This window comes from Homo sapiens, chromosome 7 (assembly GCF_000001405.40).
Source record: "Homo sapiens chromosome 7, GRCh38.p14 Primary Assembly".
Taxonomy (NCBI): domain Eukaryota; kingdom Metazoa; phylum Chordata; class Mammalia; order Primates; family Hominidae; genus Homo; species Homo sapiens.
The window spans coordinates 139,176,683-139,197,733 of NC_000007.14; the positions used below are offsets into that span (position 1 = coordinate 139,176,683).

At 38.9% G+C, this 21,051-nt stretch overlaps 1 protein-coding gene across 8 annotated transcripts in view, besides 2 other annotated features; it reads left to right on the forward strand.

Moving 5' to 3' along the window:
- IFT56 (intraflagellar transport 56) overlaps positions 1–15,304 on the forward strand; it is a 58,209-nt gene extending 42,905 nt beyond the window's left edge. For 6 of the 8 annotated variants that reach the window (NM_001318333.2, NM_024926.4, NM_001321741.2 and 3 more), the window contains 6 exons: positions 1,532–1,620; positions 1,833–1,916; positions 2,892–2,961; positions 4,410–4,516; positions 10,724–10,857; positions 12,639–15,304. In NM_001318333.2, coding sequence (NP_001305262.1) covers positions 1,532–1,620; positions 1,833–1,916; positions 2,892–2,961; positions 4,410–4,516; positions 10,724–10,857; positions 12,639–12,750 — 596 coding nt within the window. In that variant the 3' untranslated portion in view covers positions 12,751–15,304. The remainder of the gene's footprint in view (positions 1–1,531; positions 1,621–1,832; positions 1,917–2,891; positions 2,962–4,409; positions 4,517–10,723; positions 10,858–12,638) is intronic. The other 2 variants (NM_001321740.2, NM_001144920.3) reach the window with 2 other exon arrangements.
- Positions 6,103–6,702: an enhancer, noted in NCBI's record as "NANOG hESC enhancer chr7:138867531-138868130 (GRCh37/hg19 assembly coordinates)". NCBI's record gives its function as "activates a minimal SCP1, AML or CMV promoter by ChIP-STARR-seq in naive H9 embryonic stem cells {active_cell/tissue: H9 hESC(naive)}" and the evidence as "EXISTENCE:reporter gene assay evidence [ECO:0000049][PMID:30033119]".
- Positions 7,241–7,535: an enhancer, noted in NCBI's record as "tiled region #12471; K562 Activating DNase matched - State 5:Enh". NCBI's record gives its function as "activates a minimal TATA promoter and a strong SV40 promoter by Sharpr-MPRA in K562 cells {active_cell/tissue: K562}" and the evidence as "EXISTENCE:reporter gene assay evidence [ECO:0000049][PMID:27701403]".
- Positions 15,305–21,051: the final 5,747 nt, after the last annotated feature.

Consider the following 21,051-nt stretch of genomic DNA (forward strand, 5'->3'; position numbering starts at 1 on the left):
ACTGAAAATTAAATATTTTTATCACTCCTGGACGTTCACAAATGTTTCACCAGCACTGGTTATTTAGTTCAATTTTCCCCATTTCATTCATTCATTCACACAATAAAAATTTATTGAGCTGTTGAGGATACAGCAGTAAACAAACAAAACTCCCAACCATTATGGAACTTAAGTCTAGTAGGGCAGATGGATCAGAAACACTATATAGTGGCCAGGTGCGGTGGTTCACACCTGTAATCCCAGCACTTTGGGAGGCTGAGGTGGGCGTATTACGAGGTCAGGAGATCGAGACCAGTCTGGCCAACATGGTGGAACCCCACCTCTACTAAAAATACAAAAATTAACCAGGTGTGGTGGTGTGTGCCTGTAATCCCATCTACTTGGGAGGCTGAGGTAGGAGAATCACTTGAACCCGGGAGACGAAGGTTGCAGTGAGCCAAGATCGCACCACTGCACTTCACCCTGGGCAACAGAGTAAGACTCCGTCTCAAAAAAAAAAAAAGAAAGAAAAGAAAAAAAGAAATAATATATCATATATATGTATAGTGTGTGTGTGTATATATATATATTTATACTACATATGTATATCTGATATGTATGTTCTGATCCTTACCCAACTTTTTGCCTGATATCAGATTCCTATTTGAGTGGTGGAGGATTAGTATAACTCCCACCCTTGCCACAGGCATTCCTAAGACTCCTTATTCTGTTTAATTTTTTTCCTTTATCAATTATGACAGTCTGATATACTATGTATATCAGATATATATATACTGTATGTATGTACATCTCATCAAATATACCAGAAAATTTTCTGTGGTGGCATTAGTGGCATCAACTAATCCTTAAGATTAGTTTTGTGTTTATCTGGTATAACTGATTGTTTTATATTTTATATGTATATCTGATCGGATATACATATATATATAGTGTGTGTGTGTGTGTGTGTATATATATCTCAAATGTACATAGTATATCAGACTGTGATAAATGCTAAAGGAAAAAAATTAAACAGGATAAGGAGCCTTAGGAATGTCTGTGGCAAGGGTGGGAGTTATACTAATCCTCCACCACTCAAATAGGAATCCAGTATCAGGCAAAAAGTTGAATCAGGATCAGAATCAGATGGTTCCATGGCAAATTATTTTTCCGTTTAAGATTGGAAGTGCTAGGTTGATTTAGAAAAGTGATAATGGAGACCAGGCCACACTAATTGAATGTGCACATGTTGGATGAGAGCATCAAAGCCCTGAAAAATGACCTGGGTAATGTCGTAGTTAATGAACCTGCAGGGCGTGTGTTCATTTTGGACTCTGGGAGTTAATCCCCAGAGAGATTATTGGTCACTCTCAAGAACTATGACCTCCATTATATTGGGGTTTTGTCCACTGAAGAAAATGTATAATGTCAGAATCTAGAAAGATATTTTGGAATATTTTCCTGTCTTTAAATTATTAAATAACTCAAACTTCAGCTAAAGAGGATTTTAGTCTCATGAATATATGTGGGGTTTTTTTCCCCTCCGTTTCAGATACAATACCAGGGAGGCAGTGCATGGCTTCCTGTTTCTTCCTGCTTAAGCAATTTGATGATGTTTTGATTTACCTCAACTCATTTAAGGTCAGTATAGAATTATCTATAAGACTTTATATACAAAATACTATGGAATGTGTCAGAGAAGATAAGATACCCTTAGAGATGGCCCATTTTCTGTGGTGGCATTAGTGGCATCAACTAATCCTTAAGGTTAGTTTTGTGTTTATCTGGTATAACTGATGGTTATATTTTATATGTTAATTCTCAGTGTGACCTGTTCTTGGGATGTTTTTCAGAGTTACTTCTATAATGATGACATCTTTAACTTTAATTATGCCCAAGCCAAAGCTGCAACAGGCAATACCAGTGAGGGCGAAGAGGTGGGTATCTGCTTTTGAGAGCATTTGAATGATTCTATCTAAAAACATCCTTATCTTTTTCTCACTGGAATAAAATGGTCAAGGGTTAAGGATTATTAAAGATTCCTCTGTTCTTAGGATGCATGAATAAGTACACTGTGGAGAAGGTGCAGTGACACACACCTGTAGTCCCAGCTACTTGGGAGGCTGAGGCAGGACAATGGCTTGAGCCTGGAAGTTTTAAGCTGCAGTGCACTATGATCGTGCCTGTGAATAGCCACTACACTCCAGCCTGGGCAACATAGCAAGACCCTGTCTCTTAAAAAAAAAAAATTACAATGTGAATAGACATAGATTTTATAACCATATTAAAATTTTCCCTTTTTAGTAAATTTTATAGAAATATAACGTATGTACAGAAAAGTATACATATCATAAGTATACAGCTTGATGACTATCAGTATGTTTCTTATTTGATTTCTAACTTAATTGTATTTTTGTGGTCATAGAATGTGCTCTGGGCTGGGCGAGCTGGCTCACACCTATAATCCCAACATTTCAGAAGGCTGAAAAGTGGGAGGATCACTTGAGCTCAGGAGTTCGAGACCAACCTAGGCAATATAGTGAGACACCATCTCTACAAAAATTTTTTTAAAATAGCTGAGTATAGTGGCATGTGCCATTTGTTGAGGCTTGCCTTACTGACCTGTGTGTAGCATGGTCATATATGCTTAAAAAGAATGTGTATCATACAGTTGTTAATTACTCTGTTTAAATCTTCTATATCCTTACCAACTTTTTGTCAACTTGTAATATCAATTTCTGGTGAAATACTTTAAATCACCACAATTCTGTCCCTCACTTTTCTTAGCAGCCTGTATAGAATTGGGCTGTCTATAATGCTACAGTGATCATCAATCTAAGGCAAGCCAATAATGGGTATTTTTATTGCAAAAGCATCCTCATGTGTATTCCCTTTCTTTCCTCTTCTTGCAGGCGTTCCTCTTGATCCAAAGTGAGAAGATGAAAAATGATTACATTTACCTCAGCTGGTTAGCTCGGTGCTGTGAGTCTTCTTTTTTTAAATATTACAAGAAGAATCCTCTTTTTCTTTTTGGTTGCATAATCTGTTCGGAAATGACATTGAAAGTTTTCTAATTTTATTTTGCATTTTGTTCTGTAGAATGAGTAAACACTGAAATTAAGCGTTGTTAATGCTACTCAGTAAGAGTTGCCATGTAAATGTGTCATGCAAGTTTACCCTGTGATTAGTTCTACTATATAGCATTGACCTAGTACTTATAGCCTGAAAAATGTCAAGTTCTTCCTAAAGTCTCATTAAAGTTTCCAGAGTCTCAGTTTATAGTGTTGTTTATGAAATGATGCTGTTACACTAATTTTAACTTTTCACTATGGGTCAAGTCTGAAAAGTGGCAAAATGTCAAAAATGTAATTTTTTGGTATATTATAGAACTTTAGGCCGGGCGCGGTGGCTCATGCCTGTAATCCCAGCACTTTGGGAGGCCAAGGCGGGTGGATCACGAGGTCAGGAGATCGAGACCATCCTGGCTAGCACGGTGAAACCCCATCTCTACTAAAAATACAAAAAATTAGCCGGGCGCGGTGGTGGGCGCCTGTAGTCCCAGCTGCTCGGGAGGCTGAGATAGGAAAATGGCGTGAACCCGGGAGGCGGAGCTGCAGTGAGGGGAGATCACGCCACTGCACGCCAGCCTGGGCGACAGAGCGAGACTCCGTCTCAAAAAAAGAAAAAAAAAAGAACTTTACTTTGTCTCTGTCTCTAACTCACTATTGTTTCTTGTTCCTTTTTAAAACTCAAGATTTAAAATGTTGGCCAGGCACAGTTGCTCACACCTGTAATCCCAGCACTTTGGGAGCTTGAGGCAGGCAAATCACTTGAGGCCAGGAGTTAAAGACCAGCCTGGCCAACATGGCAAAACCTCAGCTCTACTAAAAATACTAAAATTAGCTGGGTGTGGTGGCACACACCTATAATTCCAGCTGCTTGGGAGGCTGAGGCACGAGAATCACTTAACCTGGGAGGCAGAGGTTGCAGTGAGCCAAGATCGCACCACTGCACTCCAGCCTGGGTGACAGAGCAAGACTCTGTCTCAAAAAAAAAAAAATTAAATGTTTACTGAATTTTTGTAGTCAGAGGAAAATTTAGCAATCGTATCTTCTAAGTGAGATTGAAACGACGAGTAGGATTGAATGAATGATAGGTATCCTCTTTTAAGCATATGAGCAAAGTAGGAACTACCAGAAGTCAATCCCATCTGAAAGACATAATTATGTGACTCCTAACTTAAATATTTTAAGTATGGTAGAATTCTGGCAGGGAGCCAGCTTAATGCCAACATTGCAAGCTTTCCATGAAAGCTTTCCATTACTTTATTTGGAATATAGAACCAAATCCATAGAATAATAAGGTGCAGAAATTATTTTTGTACAGTAAAAATGACTCATTTGTTTACAAATCTTTGTTTCCTTTTGCAGATATTATGAATAAGAAACCAAGACTAGCCTGGGAACTTTATCTTAAGATGGAAACCTCCGGCGAGTCCTTCAGTCTCTTACAGCTCATTGCTAATGACTGCTACAAGGTGAGTCTGACTGAGACTAAAGGGAACATTAAAGATTCATTATCACATTGCTGCATTGGCTAAATATTAGGGGAAAATGTCCTGCAGACTAAATGGCTAGTAGTGAGAGGATTCACGTAGTGTTATAAGAGATGCCATTCTTTTTATGAATTAACTGAACTCAGAGATAGGCAGTATTTCAGAGATTTACATGTATATGAAATAATTATTTAGACAGGAAGTTTTAGATTTCTAAAGGATATGAATCTTTAGTCAGCGTTGATGTACAGATATTCATCTGGTAGTTGGAAATTTGGTTCTGAAGCTCAAGAAAAATGTCTTCTGACATCTGGAGACATAGATTGCGAGTCATCAACATTTAAGTACAGTCCTGTGTTGCTTTATAATGGGGATAAGTTCTGAGAAATGTGTCATTAGGTGATTTTGTCATTGTACAAACATCAGAGTGTACTTACACAAACCTAGATGGTATAGCCTACTATACACTTGGGCCATATGATATAGCTTATTGCTCCCTAGGCTACAAACCTGTACAGCATATTCCTGTAGTGAATACTGTAGGTAATTATAACACAATGGCTAATATTTGTGTGTTGAAACATATCTAAACATAGAAAAGGCACAGTAAAAATATAATATTATGATCTTATGGAACCACAATCATATATGCTGCCCATCACTGATCAAAATACGGTTATGAAGTACATGACTGGATTAACTGAAGCCCTGAAAAACAGTGAGATTACCCAAGTAAAATGTAAAGTGAGAAGAGGTGCAAACCAAACTTTGAGGTGCAAATGGCAGACAGGAAAGACAAAGGAACCAGAAAAAGAGAATAAAAAAGTAGTCAGATTTAGTAAAGAAATGGCTGTTTTGTGTGCATGCTGGGGTGTGTGTGTGGAGGGGCGGGGGGAGTTGGAAAGGCTGGGAGGAGGTAGTAGTTTGGGGACCTAGCCTCAAAAAAAGATTAAGATTTTTTTAAAATCAGCCTCAAATTCTGGAAGTTCCTATTTTTGGAATATCTCTTCCAAAAATGTCAAAAATCAGGTAAATGTCAGGTAAAGAGAAACTCGTATTAAATTAATCAACAAAAGCTCATTTCAAAGTGAATCGTTACCAAAAAAAGAGGTGAATTACCATCAGTAGAAAATACTTTAAGACATAGGAAACTTAAAAATAACAGTTTAACATGACTTGGTGGGTGGCAATGCTCTTAAATAAGTTAGGGGAGGCAGAGGGAAGGAAAACATTAGAAGACAGGAAATTATTTCAGTTTTAGATGTATTAAATCTGAAGTGTCTTTGAGGCTCCCAGCAGAGATAACAGAAGTAGGAAATTAACAGGCTGTGCTTGGAGCTTTGGTATTCATCAAGATTAGCAATGTAGATTTAGTAGTTAACAATGTAGATTTAGAAGTTAACCGTAGTTAGTGGTGGTAGTAGCAGCAGCAGGAGCAGCAACAGCCAAGTATGAGAGAGAATAAGATTAGCCAGTAAATGGGGTGAGGAACCTTGTGGAAACCAGTGTTTAAGGGCTGGAAAGAGAAGGAAGAGTAAATGAAAGAGAGGATGAACAGAAGAGAAGGAAAACAATGAGGACAGGAAAAAAAATGCTTTTCATTACTTTTTCTTGCTCCCATTTAATCAAAAACCAAGGCAGGAGAGTGTCAAATCTGCAACTGGATAGAAATGCATGAGGACTGAGAAGACAGTAAGAGGTAGAGAATAGAGTCAGATTACAAAGCAGATGCAGCTAGTGTAATGTAGACCACAGTCTTAAAAAATTTGATATTAAAAATAAGAAGGAAAAATGTAGTGCTAACTTAAATGGAAAATCAGGGTTTGGAATTGCGGGGGATGGGGTGGAGAGTTCTTTTAGAATGGGGATAGGGGAGTATATCTGTAGGCAGAAGAAAATGAGCCATTGAACAGTAAGATTAAAGATTCAGGAGGATGGGGCATTTTTGATGGAGTTAGGCCCTGAGGAGATGAGAGGGGAATAGGGTTAACATCAAAGGAAGATAACTACTTGAAAAACAAGTTGGCATTACCTACTGTCTCAGTGGTCCCATGACCACCCACTAGTTTGGTGATTTACTAGAAGGAGTCATACGACTCAACATAAAGTTATACTCATGGCTAAAATTTATTACACTACAGGAACAGCAGGAAAACGATGGGTGTAGGTGAAGGCTAGAGAAGCCAAATACAGGTTTTCTTATCTTCCTTTTGTGGGGATCACACAGTCAAGTCTTTATCAAGCATATGTGTGAGGTCCTTGTCAAAGAAAAACAAAGAGAATAAGGGGGGAAATGGCAGAATTAAGCCCTAACATGTCAATAATTAAATGTAAATGGTCTAAGTATGCCTATTAAAAGACATCTATTGAGAGAGTGGATTAAAAAACATAACCCAATTATGTGTTCTCAACAAGAAATTCACTTTAAATATATTTACATAGGTCAAAAATAAAAGGATAAAAAAAAAAAACCAACCATGAAATACTTTGGCAGTTTCTTTAATAAACATACTTACCATATGACCCAGCAATTGCATTCCTGTGTATTTATCCCAGATAAATGAAAACCTATATCCACAGAAATATATAAATGTTAATAACACAAATTTTAATATTTAAATGTTAATAGCAGCTTTATTTGTAATAGCCTAAAACTGGAGACAAAGTCTTTCAGCAGGTGAATGGTTAAACAGATGGGTTTGGCATGGAATACTACTCAGTAATAAAAAGGAACTATAATGAGAAGTCTGACTCCATTTCTGGATGTTTGACTGCTGACAGCTTTTAAGCCTCACCCCTGCCTCTTCCCGTTGTGCCCCGCATCTGGACAAAATGATAAGAAAACCTACGTGCTCCCTTCTTTGGCACCATAGGGTGATTTAAACCACACAAGCCCCTGCCCATGCACAGGAACCTTCACCACGGCCCCACCTCCTAACCACAGTAAACACCAAGGCCAGTCTCCTTTCCTTGCTTTCTCAGGCCTTTTCAGATCTGCTTAATAGGGCCGTTCTACTCTCCCTAGGCTTCAAGTATGTAAGAAAACGTTTCATATCCTCTTGCTGTGTGTGTGTGGCGTCATCAGTTTCACCATCCAAACCAAACTTTGGTTGGGAGTCCCTGTTGCATTTGCAGGGTGACCAGAACAGGAGCAAGCTATTGGAACACACAGTAACTTGAATTAACAGGGAATAACAAGGACATTATACTGAAGGAAAAAAGCCAGTTTCATAGGGTCCCATACTGTTTGCTTTCATATATGTAACATTCTTGAAATGACAAAATTATTGAGATAGAGAACAAATTAGTGGTTGTTAGATGTTAGGGATGGTGAGCAGGGAGGGCTGTGCATGTGACTGTAAAAGGGTAACAAGGGAAATCTTTGTGGTGATATAATAGTTCTGCATCTTGGTCAGGCACGGTGGCTTATGCCTGTAATCCCAGTACTTTGGGAGGCCAAGGCAGGAGGATTGCTTAAGGCCAGGAGTTCAAGGCCAGCCAGGGCAACATAGTGAGACATCGTCTCTATAAAACATTTTTAAAAAGCAGCTGGGCAGGCCGGGCGTGGTGGCTGATGCCTGTAATCCCAGCACTTTGGGAGGCTGAGGCGGGCGGATCACAAGGTCAGGAGATCGAGACCATCCTGGTTAACACAGTGAAACCCCGTCTCTACTAAAAATACAAAAAATTAGCCAGGCGTGGTGGCGGGCGCCTGTAGTCCCAGCTACTCAGGAGGCTGAGGCAGGAGAATGGCGTGAACCCGGGAGGTGGAGCTTGCAGTGAGCCGAGATCGCGCCACTGCACTCCAGCCTGGGTAACAGGGCGAGACTCCATCTCAAAAAAAAAAAAAAAAGTAGCTGGGCATGGTGGCTACCTCAAGAGGCTGAGGCAGGAGAATCACTTGAGCCCAGAAGTTCAAGGTTGCAGTGAGCTGTGATTGCCTTATTGCATTCCAACCTGGATGACAAAGCAAGACCTTGTGTCCAAAAAAAAAGAGTAATTCGGTATCTTGATAGTTGTATGGCTGTGGTTACGTGAATCTACACATAGGATGAAATAACAGGACCATCATCAACATACACGGTACCAGTGTCAATTTCCTGATTTTTATATTGTGATATTTTACTATCCTTATTTAAGCTGTAACCTTTGGAGGAAACTAGGTGAAAGGTACACATGACCTCTGTCCTATCTTTGTCCATGGATCTATAATTATTAATACTTCAAAATAAAAAAATTTTTTAAATGAATCAACTAGAGCTATATACAGCAATATAGGTGAGTCTTATAATGTTGAATCATAGGTACAAGACATAATAGAATATTTACAGTATTCGTTCATATAAAGTTCTGAGAAGCAGAACTCAATTATATTGTTTAAAGATGTGTATACTTAAGAGAGAACATAAAAGTCAGAAGAGTAGTTACCTCTGGGTATGGAAAGAGAGAGTTATGGTCTGGAAGTGACACACAGAGAGCTTTTGTGTTGCTCTCAGTGTCTTGACCTGGGTAGTGTTTACAGTATTTTCACATTATAATTAGTAAGATGTACATGGATGTTTCATTTACCATCCTGTATGTGTGTTATTTCACAATAAAGACTTTTTTTAAAAAGAGTACATAAATAGAAGGACAAACCTTGAAAATAAAAAAAAATCTTCGCGTGAGATTAGGCAGAAAGGAGGAAAGGAAGAATGAAGGTGTAAATATAATTTGAACTGAAGAGAAGAAAGTTGTGTTTTCCCTATGAAGTACAGAATAAGGCTAAGCTAAGAAGGCTGTCTTAAGGAAATTGTCAAAGATTTAGAAAAACATCTGTCAGGAATAAAGAAGTAACTAAACCATAAAGAGAGTTGCCCAGCAATTTGAAGCCTTAAGTGAAATTGGTAACAGTATGTATTTATGATTGCCAAGTAAGAAAACTCATCTGGCCAGGCGCGGTGGCTCAAGCCTGTAATCCCTGCACTTTAGGAAACCAAAGTGGGAGGATCACTTGAGGCCAGGAGTTTGAGACCCACCTGGGCAACATAGTGAGAGCCTGTCTTGCAAAAAATTAAAAATTAGCTGGGCATGGTGGTGTACACCTGTAGTCCCAGCTGCTTGGAACACTAAGGCAGGAGGATCTCTTGAGCCCAGGAATTTGAGGTCACAGTGAGTCATGTTGGCACCACTGCACTCCAGCCTGGGCAATAGTGCAAGATCCTATCTCTAAAAAAAAAAAAAGAATAAAAATTTTTTTTAAATAAAAGAAAACTAATCTAAGCAAAATTTAATGGCATTCAACATGTTCTATGAGGCCAAGGAAATGTGTAGTACATTTGGGAAAAATGTCTGTCAAAATGCATTAAACATTTAAAAGATTTAGTGTTTAGAATAGTAGTCAGTATACATCTAAGCATTCTGAGAATTTAGGAACAAGACTAGGGAAAGACCATCCTGGAGTTGAACATGATCAAATTAGCATAAAATGAATGATAGTAGTCATCTGAAAAGAATGTACTGAAGAGACTTGAAAAATACTCAGTTCAAATCACAATCCTCAGTTTATCCTCAAGATTAGAAGACAATTAGAAGAAAAGGCAAAAGTGCTGATTGTGGCCGGGCGCGGTGGCTCACGCCTGTAATCCCAGCACTTTGGGAGGCTGAGACGGGTGGATCATGAGGTCAGGAGATCGAGACCATCCTGGCTAACAAGGTGAAACCCCGTCTCTACTAAAAATACAAAAAATTAGCCGGGCGCGGTGGCGGGCGCCTGTAGTCCCAGCTACTCGGGAGGCTGAGGCAGGAGAATGGCGTGAACCCGGGAAGCGGAGCTTGCAGTGAGCCGAGATTGCGCCACTGCAGTCCGCAGTCCGGCCTGGGCGACAGAGCGAGACTCCGTCTCAAAAAAAAAAAAAAAAAAAAAAAGTGCTGATTGTAGCATAATTTGACTCTATGTAGAAAAAATGTTATACTGTTGAAAACTGAGTGAACATAAGGTAGTTTAAACTGAACCCATGTACCCAAACTGTAATTTTCCTTCTTATTGTTTTAATTGGGAATTGAAGTTTTTCTAACTTGCTAACTGAAAATGTTGTCAGCACCCATGCACTTATTTCATACAGTCCCGTTTCATGTTATCTTTATGTTCAGGTTCTTTCTGTGCAATCTCTTTACTGCAAGTATTACCACATACGTTCTCTTATTCAGATGGGCCAGTTTTACTATTCTGCCAAAGCTTTTGATGTCCTTGAGAGGCTGGATCCTAACCCTGAATATTGGGAAGGCAAACGGGGTGCCTGTGTGGGCATTTTCCAGATGATCATAGCTGGGAGAGAACCCAAGTAAGTAAACAGGCAAGAAATACTACCTCTACTCATTTGCTTGTTTGTGAGGGAAAATACTTGTTCTCTTGGATGATATCTTCTGAAAACACATGATTATAATGATGTTTTAGAATGATGAAAAAAAGGTTGATATTAAATATTTCTGTCTGACCATTTTCCTCCAGAAATCTTTCATTTTGTAGAATCAGATAATTCTAAATCATATATAATAGGATCAGATCATTCTAAGTCATATATACATTAAGTACACTAACAGCCTCCAAATATAAGAGCAGGATGTATATTTGGTTCCAAATGAACAGCCATTTTTATAGGCAAAGTGTTTTTTTTTTTTACTCTTCTACTCTTTTGGGTTTTTTGTTTGTTTTTTGTTTTTTGCCTATTGGCTTTTTCTTGTGTGCTTTAGTTTAGGTCTCAAAAAATTAGGAATGGAGTAGATGTGGTTGATAACTCTTTTGTTTTCTTTCACCTTCTCATATTCTAGGAAATACTGAGACATTAGTTTACATAAAATTAATAAAATTCAGTGGTTTATACTTTTTCTTTTTTTTTTTCTTTCTTTCTTTTTTTTTTTTTTAGATAGAGTCTTGCTCTGTTGCCCAGGCTGGAGTGCAATGGTGTGATCTCAGCTCACTGCAACCTCTGCCTCCCGGGTTCAAGTGATTCTCCTGCCTCACTCTCCTGAGTAGCTGGGATTACAGGCACGTGCCACCATGCCTGGCTAATTTTTGTATTTTTAGTAGGGGCAGGGTTTCACCATGTTGGCCAGGCTGGTCTCAAACTCCTGACCTCAGGTGATCCTTCCACCTCAGCCTCCCAAAGTTCTGGGATTACAGGCATGAGCCACCATGCCCAGCCTATAGTTTCATTTGAAACAAACATTAAAACACAACTCGATTCCATTTTCTAAAAATAACTTCATGGAATGTATTTATTACTGATACATGAATAGGAAATGTGTTAATTTTGTAAGAAAATAATCTATCAAAAATTACTTCCTACCTTATAGTACTTCTAGTTCTAAGTAAAAGTTTAAAAACATTTGGTTAGGTGAAAGAGGTTGTTTGTGGGGAAAAAGAAGTAGAAAATATGAGAAGACTCTTAAGCAAATAGGTTCATAGGCAGTCGCCTACAGATTTGCTAGGGCAATAAGGAAATTTTAGCATTCATTACTTAAAATATGTTTTAATTTTAATTAAATTTAAATTACTTCAAATATAAATGCTAGGCTTAGTCCTTAATGTCCATCTCTTCCATTTTATTCATGTATTATTTTTCTTGAAAAAATCCCTTATTCCTTTGGCTTTGTAAAATTTTATGAATTTGACAATGATGCCTAGTTGAAGGTGGTTACCACCTTAAACAAGGGAGAAATCCATGAGTTAGACAAATTAAGTGACTTGCTGGTGTTAGAGCTAGAACTTGAACCCCAACTTCTGGATATACTCTTTCTAGTCATGCAGAATAAGAATAGAAATGGGAATAGTTAGGTCATCTCAGAAAGGACAAAAAGATTATCAGTATGTATATAGGTAGTATGGATAAACAAGGAACACTTGGATTGGCAAGAAAGATTTCACATAATTTCCATTTTACTATGCCACAATAAGAACATAAGGCTAGGCAGTTTGTAATTGCTTTGTGAATACACAGTGAAAGAGTCTATTACCAAAAATGCCCTACAAGACATACAGTATGAAGGACAGTTCAGAGTTTATTTTATTTTTTAATTTTCATTCTTCATTGAAACACTTTGTCTTTTCAAATCTTTTCCTCAGAGAGACCCTTCGAGAAGTGCTCCATTTACTGAGAAGCACAGGTAACACCCAAGTAGAATACATGATCCGGATCATGAAGAAATGGGCCAAAGAAAACAGAGTGTCCATCTAAAATAGCGCCAGCGTCCTAGGAACCAGCTTCTACTTTGACATAAAACTGGAAATCATTTTCACTCCAGTTTAATCTGTGATACAGGGCTCTGTTTTATTGACATTTTCCTTCCTTGCTCTTTAAGCCTCAAGGTCAGAGACTGACTTGCTGAGACTTAGTCTCCTGGCTGAACAGAGTGCCATAGTCTGTGACCCTGTATGATCCTAGTAGCAATAAGATTTTGGACTTATCTGGTGCCTTTCTTCCAAAAATGCTCAGAGTACTTTTATGCAATTTACTGACTTTAAGGAAAACAGTATAACTTTTTTTTGTTAGCATTTTATGGCATTGTCTCCTGGCTGCAATAACAAACATCTTTGATGTTCAAGAATCAGCATCATTGTATCATTTAACTTTAAGGCGTCTCTGTACGTTATCCCATTTTATTGGGGAATTCCATAAAGGGTTTTATAACGTCATCTCTGAATCTTGGGAGAATAACTAGCTATGTGTTTCTAAGAAAGGCAGTAAGCTACTTTATCAAACTGTCCAGTCATTAATAGGATAGATTTATGGGATTACTCTTTCAGTAATTAAATTGTTGATGATAATAACATGTTACAGCGCAGTAAGATGAGTATTGCAATGTTTTAAAAGGTGAGTACTATGAAAAAAATTGTAGTACCTCTAAAGGTATTCAAGAAACAATGTTTATGAATCTCACTAGTCCATTATAGTTTGGTACCATAATTATTTTAGGTAACAAAGCAGGTTAGGTTTTTGTTAATGTATCTTGCTTAACAAACATCAGTTTTTGTTGTTGTTGTTGTTGTTGTTGTTGTTGTTGTTTTTGAGACGGAGTCTCGCTCTGTCGCCCAGGCTGGAGTACAGTGGTGCGATCTCGGCTCACTGCAAGCTCCACCTCCTGGGTTCACGCCAGTCTCCTGCCTCAGCCTTCTGAGTAGCTGGGACTACAGGCACCCGCCACCGCGCCCGGCTAATTTTTTGTATTTTTAGTAGAGACGGGGTTTCACCGTGTTAGCCACAATGCTCTCCATCTCCTGACCTCGTGATCCGCCCGTCTCAGCCTCCCAAAGTGCTGGGATTACAGGCATGAGCCACCGCGCCTGGCCCAAACATCAGTTTTGAAAGTAGGGCTACAGTGATTTATATGTATTGTGGGCACTTATTAATGTAACGATAATAAAACATGAATCGTATAAAGTCCTTTGAGGGAATCTCCTAATGGCTAGGCTCTCTGTCGTAAGTCATATTCCAGCCCCAGGCTTCTGAGCTCTTATAACATACAACTGAGCATTCTTAAGCTCACAACCTATTTCCAGAAAAGAGACCCACATCTTTCTATGTTTTATACTACCTTTGTTTTTACACCATATAGTTTTTTTCTATTAGTTTAAGGTACCTAGTGTTACAGGTCTAGAAAGTGCAGAGCCATCCCTACCTAGAAGAGAATAGATGGGAAGAGAACTGAAAGAAAGAATTCCTCAAGCACTGAAGTCAGGAAAATCCCCGTAGGCACTGTATTAGTTGTTCCATTTATCCCAGCACTCCACTTGTGGATGAAGGAGTTGTATAGAAAGGAGATGAGAAAATGGCAGGAGTGGAAGCAGCCAAGAAGAGATCGATGACTGAAGATCTCCTTCACCTTCAGGACTGTCTCAAGGGGTTATTTCACCTCTACTCATGAGGATGGCCAGTTTTTCTGTCTTTTATCTTTAGACCCATATATAATCAGTTCAGAGCACAAATCAAAATAAACTGGCCTAAATAACTGAATTCTAGGAAGCAAAGCTACATCTTTTTTCATATGCCAAAGCTTCTGTTTCCTCATGTTGTTCCTACTTTTTAAATAATAAATGGCTCTCAGCATCTTAGGAACTAGATGGGTCCCATCTGGGTAGAACCTGCTATAATTTTTAGAATCACTCTTGTAATTCTTACCTCACTTAAAATATTAGGAAACACAGTAATAGAAAAGACAGGGAGAACTCGTCTGCAGGTTTTGGCAGTGAAATTTGTCTTCCAGTGAATTGCTATTATTTTCAAATTGCCTATAGTCAAAAAGCTTTTCCATTGATGGAGACTTACTTTCAAATGAGCTTGTGTTGAATTCAGCACTCTAGATTCTCTCTGACATTTTCCTGTCTTTTGGGAAAAAAAAGCAGATATTCCAAAAATGGCAGAAATCTAATTTTTGTAAACTTTTTCATCTATAGGATTGAGCCAAAAAACATACATACTATTTTAAAGAAAGGTACCATCTAATTCTTTTATTAAAGATAGCTACTTCTGAAATGTCTTAACAGAGTTTCAAGATTGCAAAGTAGTATTGCATAGCTGGTTTTCTTACATGTGATGATGGAGGAGAGAGGAAGACCCAGACTTAGGCATGTAGTGAAATATGTACAGTTTCTGGCATCAGTGTACTATTTATAGTCTATAGCATACATTACTTGCAAATGGGAAAAGTATTTTATAATTATTTTTGTACCTCAAAATAATTATTATATTCTACTGTATTATATTCAAATTAAAGTTTATTATTTGATTCTTAGTATGATATTCTGTTGAGTGTGATGAGGGTGGGACCTAAGTATGTCATGTGCCTTCTACCCTTTCTTTCCTAGCCCTAGAATGAAAGGAGAGAAAGTTTTGGGCCCCATAAGTTACTCTTTAGAAGAGAGAAAAGTACATATTCCCCAAGAAGCCCTTTCCACTAAGAGGCTGGTAGTTCCTGCTGAATCATACTAGGCTTGGCTCTTTGCTGAATTACAGCCCATTCAGAAGTTATATGACCAGTGCATAGTGTAGTACCTCACACATAGAAAGCTCTCACATACTTGTTGACTGAATAATTAAACATACAGTAACTGGTAGGGCAAGTGACTTGTGAAGTCTAACCTCATATATTCAGTTCCCATTGAATTATTATTTTATTGTGTGCTAAGCATATGCCAGGTACTTGGGCTGCAAAGATAAATAATGCACAGGCCTGACTCTCAAGGAACTCTAACAGAAGTATACACAACTAAACACAACAACGTGATTGATATCATCAGTGGGAATAAAGTATTGAGCAATAAAAGAAGGCAATGGAATGTTTGTATCCGTGTAAATGAGATGCCCCCTGCCTCATTTGGGAGAAGCAATCAGAATGGATCCCAAAGCTCAACAGCTAGCAAGATGCCCACAGCTCTGCCATGTGTGCCACACACATCACATGCATCCAAGTAGACGGAAGCCAAGGGACTGCTTTCCTCCTCTGTGGCTTAGTGCACTTTCAGAAAGGTGCTAGCAAACAGGCATGATATCACAATAGTTACATCTACTTTCTAATGGCAAAAATGAAGTAGTGATTTACTAGATCCTGTATTGAGAACATCTGTGTCTTAGATGAATAGTTGTCTTACGACTCTTTTCTTCATCCTATAAAATACTTCTAGGCTGGGCATAGTGGCTTATGCCTGTAATCCCAACACTTTGGGAGGCTGAGGTGGGAGGATCACTTGATGCCAGGAGTTCGAGACCAGCCTGAGCAACATACCAAAACCCTGTCTCTACAAAAAAAAAAAAAAATTTTAATTAGCCAGGTGTAGTGGCACATTCCTGTCATCCCAGTTACTTGGGAGGCTGAGAAGGGAGGATCACCTGAGACCAGGAGTTCAAGGTTATAGTAGGTACTTTATAATAATGTTCAAACAGTACTCCCGACTATTAAGATGGTCTCAGAGCAGCAGAGCTAGGGACTTAGTGACATGCCTGTAAACTACCTTAACACAGAGCTTCTGGAATATGAGAAGAATAAAAGACAGCACACAACAAAATGAATGTCATCAGTCAATGTGTGTGTGTTGAGTGTGGAGTGTGTAGAGAAGTTTGCACAATTTGTTGCCATCAAAACTTTTTCTTTAAATGAAATCTGAATACCAAAAACACCTAGGGGCTGATTTGGTGATTGTGGTGAAGGAGGAAGGAGATGGCCGGTCACGGTGGCTCACGCCTATAATCCCAGCACTTTGGGATGCTGAGGCAGGTGGATCATGAGGTCAGTAGTTCAAGACCAGCCTGGCCAACATGGTGAAACCCTGTCTCTATGAAAAAATACAAAAATTAGCCAGGCGTGGTGGCAGGCACCTGTAATCTCAGCTACTCAGGAAGCTGAGGCACAAGAATCACTTGAACCTGGGAGGCAGAGGTCGCAGTGAGCCGAGATTGCACCATTGCACCCTAGCCTGGGCAAAAGAACGAGACTCCGTCTCAAAAAAAAAAAAGAAAAAAGAAAAAAACTAAGGACATAAATAGACAATTCTCAAAAGAAGACATAGAAATGGCCAACAAACATGAAAAAATGCTCAATATCACTAATGATCAAGGAAATGCAAATCAAAACCACAATGTGATGCCACCTCACTCCTGCAAGAATGGTCATAATTAAAAAACCGAAAAATAATAGATGTTAGTGTGGATGCAGTAAAAAGAGAACACTTCTACACTGCTGATGGGAATGTAAACTAGTACAACCACTATGGAAAACCGGGAGATTCCTTAAAGAACTAAAAGTACAACTACCATTTGATCCAGCAATCCCACTACTGGGTATCTACCCAGAGGAAAAGAAGTCATTGTACGAAAAAGATACTTGCACGCGCATATTTATAGCAGCACAATTCATAATTGCAAAAATGTGGAACCAACCCACATGCCCATCAATCAACAGGTGGATAAAGAAACTGTGATATACATATATATATATATATATATATATATGTGTGTGTATATATATATATATATATGATGGAATACTACTCTGCCATGAAAAGGAATTAATTAGTGGCATTTGGAGCAACCTGGATGGGATTGGAGATGATTATTCTAAGCAAAGTAATTCAGGAATGGAAAACCAAATATTATATGTTCTCACTCATAAGTTGGGGCTAAGCTATGAGGATGCAAAAGGCATAAGAATGACACAATGGACTTTGGGGACTCAGGGGGAAAGGGTGGGAAGGGGGTGAGGGGTAAAAGACCACAAATTGAGTATACACTGCTCAGGAGATGGGTGCACCAAAATCTCACAAATCACCACTAAAGAATTTACTCATGTAACTAAATACCACATGTTCCTCAAAAACCTATGGAAATAAAAAGAAAAGGTGGCATGGGAGTAGTGTATCCTAAGATGAAATTTGAAGTATAAAATTTAACTACCTGTCAGAACTCTTCCCAGGAAAACCTAGAAACAACCCAAATATCCATTCACAGGAGAATGGATAAATAAACTGTAGTAAAGTCACAAAGGAATATTATACAGAATAAATGAACTACAGCCTCTTGCAACAATATATTGCTTAGAGCAATAACCTTTTATAAGTTAAAGACAACTCACATATACACTCAGAAGGAAAGCAGGGGAATGATGAACACCAAGTCAGCATGGTGGTTACCAAGTTGGGGAGGAGGGGCTAAGATGGAGAGGAGGCCACATAGATAATCATCAGGATTCATCATATCGTATTAGGTTATTATCAGGATTCTAGTTTTCATGTAGATGATGAGTCACAGGGGTTTATTCTTTAATAAACTATAAATATACTATTAAAAATAAACTATAAATAGTTAAATAAAAGAGGGCCAATGGTGAGAGAGTGTCATCTTGAGCCAAAGATTATGACCAACCCAATCCTGTGCAACTGAGGTAAAACAAAACAAAGTTGATAAATATATAACTAGAAGGAAATGCTCCTAAATATAAGAACAATGATTATCTTCAAATGATGGAACTGGGTACCGTATATTCTTCTTTCTGTATTCTGTATTTTCTGATTTTTCTAGAATGAGCACATGTTATTTGTATCATCAAAAACATTTTTTTGTTTTGTTTTGTTTTTGAGACAGGGTCTCGTTCTGTTGCCCAGGCTGGAGTGCAGTGCCACAATCTTGGGTCACTGAAATTTCTGTCTCCGGGGCCCAAACGATCCTCCCACCTTCGCCTCCCAAGTAGCTGGGACTATGGGCATGTGCCATCACACCTGGCTAATTTTTTGTTGTTGTTGTTTGTTTGTTTGTTTGAGACAGAGTCTCACTCTGTCGCCCACGCTGGAGTACAGTGACGCGATTTCGGCTCACCGAAAGCTCTGCCTCCCAGGTTCACGCCATTCTCCTGCCTCAGCCTCCCGAGTAGCGGGACTACAGGCGCTCACCACCACACCCGGCTAATTTTTTGTATTTTTAGTAGAGACGGGGTTTCACCGTGGTAGCCAGGATGGTCTCAATCTCCTGAGCTCGCGATCCACCTGCCTCGGCCTCCCGAAGTGCTGGGATTACAGGCGTGAGCCACCGGGCCCGGCCCACACCTGGCTAACTTTTGTAACTTTTTTTGGTAGAGCTATGTTGCCCAGTCTGCAAAACAAACAAACAAACAAACAAAAAAGTGTAAAATAAATCTTTACATCTAGCAAAATAATTTCTTCGTATCATCTAATGCCTAGTCTTTATTCACGTTTTTCCAATTGTCTCCAAAATGGTTTACTATAGGATCCAAACTAAGTACAACACTACATTTCGCTGCTGTATCCCTTACACTTTTTTTTTTTTTTTTTTAAAGTTAGAGATGAGGTCTCGCTATGTTGGCCAGGATGGTCTTAAACTCCTGGCCACAAGTGATCCTCCCCGCCTCAGCCTCCCAATGTGCTGGCATTACAGGTGTGAGCCACTGTACCCGGTCTACACTTTTTTTTTTTTTTTTTTTTTATCAAAACAGATTCTCACACTGTTGCCCAGGCCGGAGGTGCAATGGCGCGATCTTGGCTCACTGCAACCTCCACCTTCTGGGTTCAAGCAATTCTCCTGCCTCAGCCTCCCAAGTAGCTGGGATTACAGGCACCCACCACCACACCCAGCTCATTTTTTGTATTTTTAGTGGGGACGGGGTTTCACCATGTTGGCCAGGCTGGTCTCGAACTCCTGACCTCGTGATTCGCCTGCCTCAGCCTCCTAAAGTGCTGGGATTACAGATGTGAGCCACCAGGCCCAGCCCACTTATTTTTTTAATGGCTATCCTTTCCCCACTGTTTTCCCAAGCCATTGATTTGTTGGAGAAACTGAGTCATTTGTGTTGTGGAATGCCCCATGTTACAAATTTGGTTGGCTGATTCCATGTAGGATTGTTGAACATGTTCCTGTGTAACTCAGATTGCCTTTACACTGGTAATTGGATGTAAAGGCTGATGCCAAGGATCAGTCGGCTCCCTCTGATCCCTCCATTGCAAAGCTCGCCTTCGACCTTTCATTTAACTGTTGGAGCAGCCATGATGATCATGCTGAGAGGCGTTCTTTTATTTAGGGTTGCAAAATAGTGAGTTCCTAATTCTGTCATTCGTTATCTGCTTTTTGACTGAAATTCCGTAAAGAAGAACTTTCTCATTTAACTATTTGATTGCTCTCAAAATCAATTTATACAGGGAAGGTGAGAGGAAGGAAAATTCTTTTATCAGTTTTCAAAAAAATAAATAAGTGCCCTAGCAACCTTCTATAGTAACCAACAAGGTTCTCTTTCCTTTCCTTTTTTTTTTCTTTTCAAGTATCATGAAACCATGGAGATTTTTTACTTTAATTTATTTATTTATTTTTAATTTTTAAATTTTATTTAAAATTTTTTATTTATTTATTTTGAGACTGGGTTATGAAACTGGCTAATTTTTATATTTTTGGTAGAGACAGGGTTTTGCCATGTTGCCTAGGCTGGTCTGCAACTCCTAGGCTCAAACAATCTGCCTGCTTGCTGGGATTAGGAGCCTTGAAACCATGGAGTGTTACATATTATATATGTATCAATTAACTGCAAACATTATTTATTTTGATGTTTGAGCTTTCCAGCAAGAGCTCCTTTAAACTGGCTCCTGTGAACCGTAAAAAAAGTTTTAAATTGTGCTAAAATACACATAACATAAAAGTTACCATCTTAACCATTATTTGCAACCAATTATTGTAAATTGACAATTTATAATTGTATAAGTTTATGGGTCACAAAGTGATGTCATAATTTTTGGGTACAATGTGGTATAACAAAGTCAAGCTAGTTAATGTAACCATGACTTCAAATACTTAACATTTTTGTGATGAGAACATTTGAAATTTACTCTTAGCAATTGTGAAAGGTATAATACTCTATTATTAGCCTGGGCGCCGTGCTCACGCCTGTCATCCCAGCACTTTGGGAGGCCGAGGCGGGCAGATCACCTGAGGTCGGGAGTGCGAGACCAGCCTGACCAACATGGAGAAACCCCGTCTCTACTAAAAAAA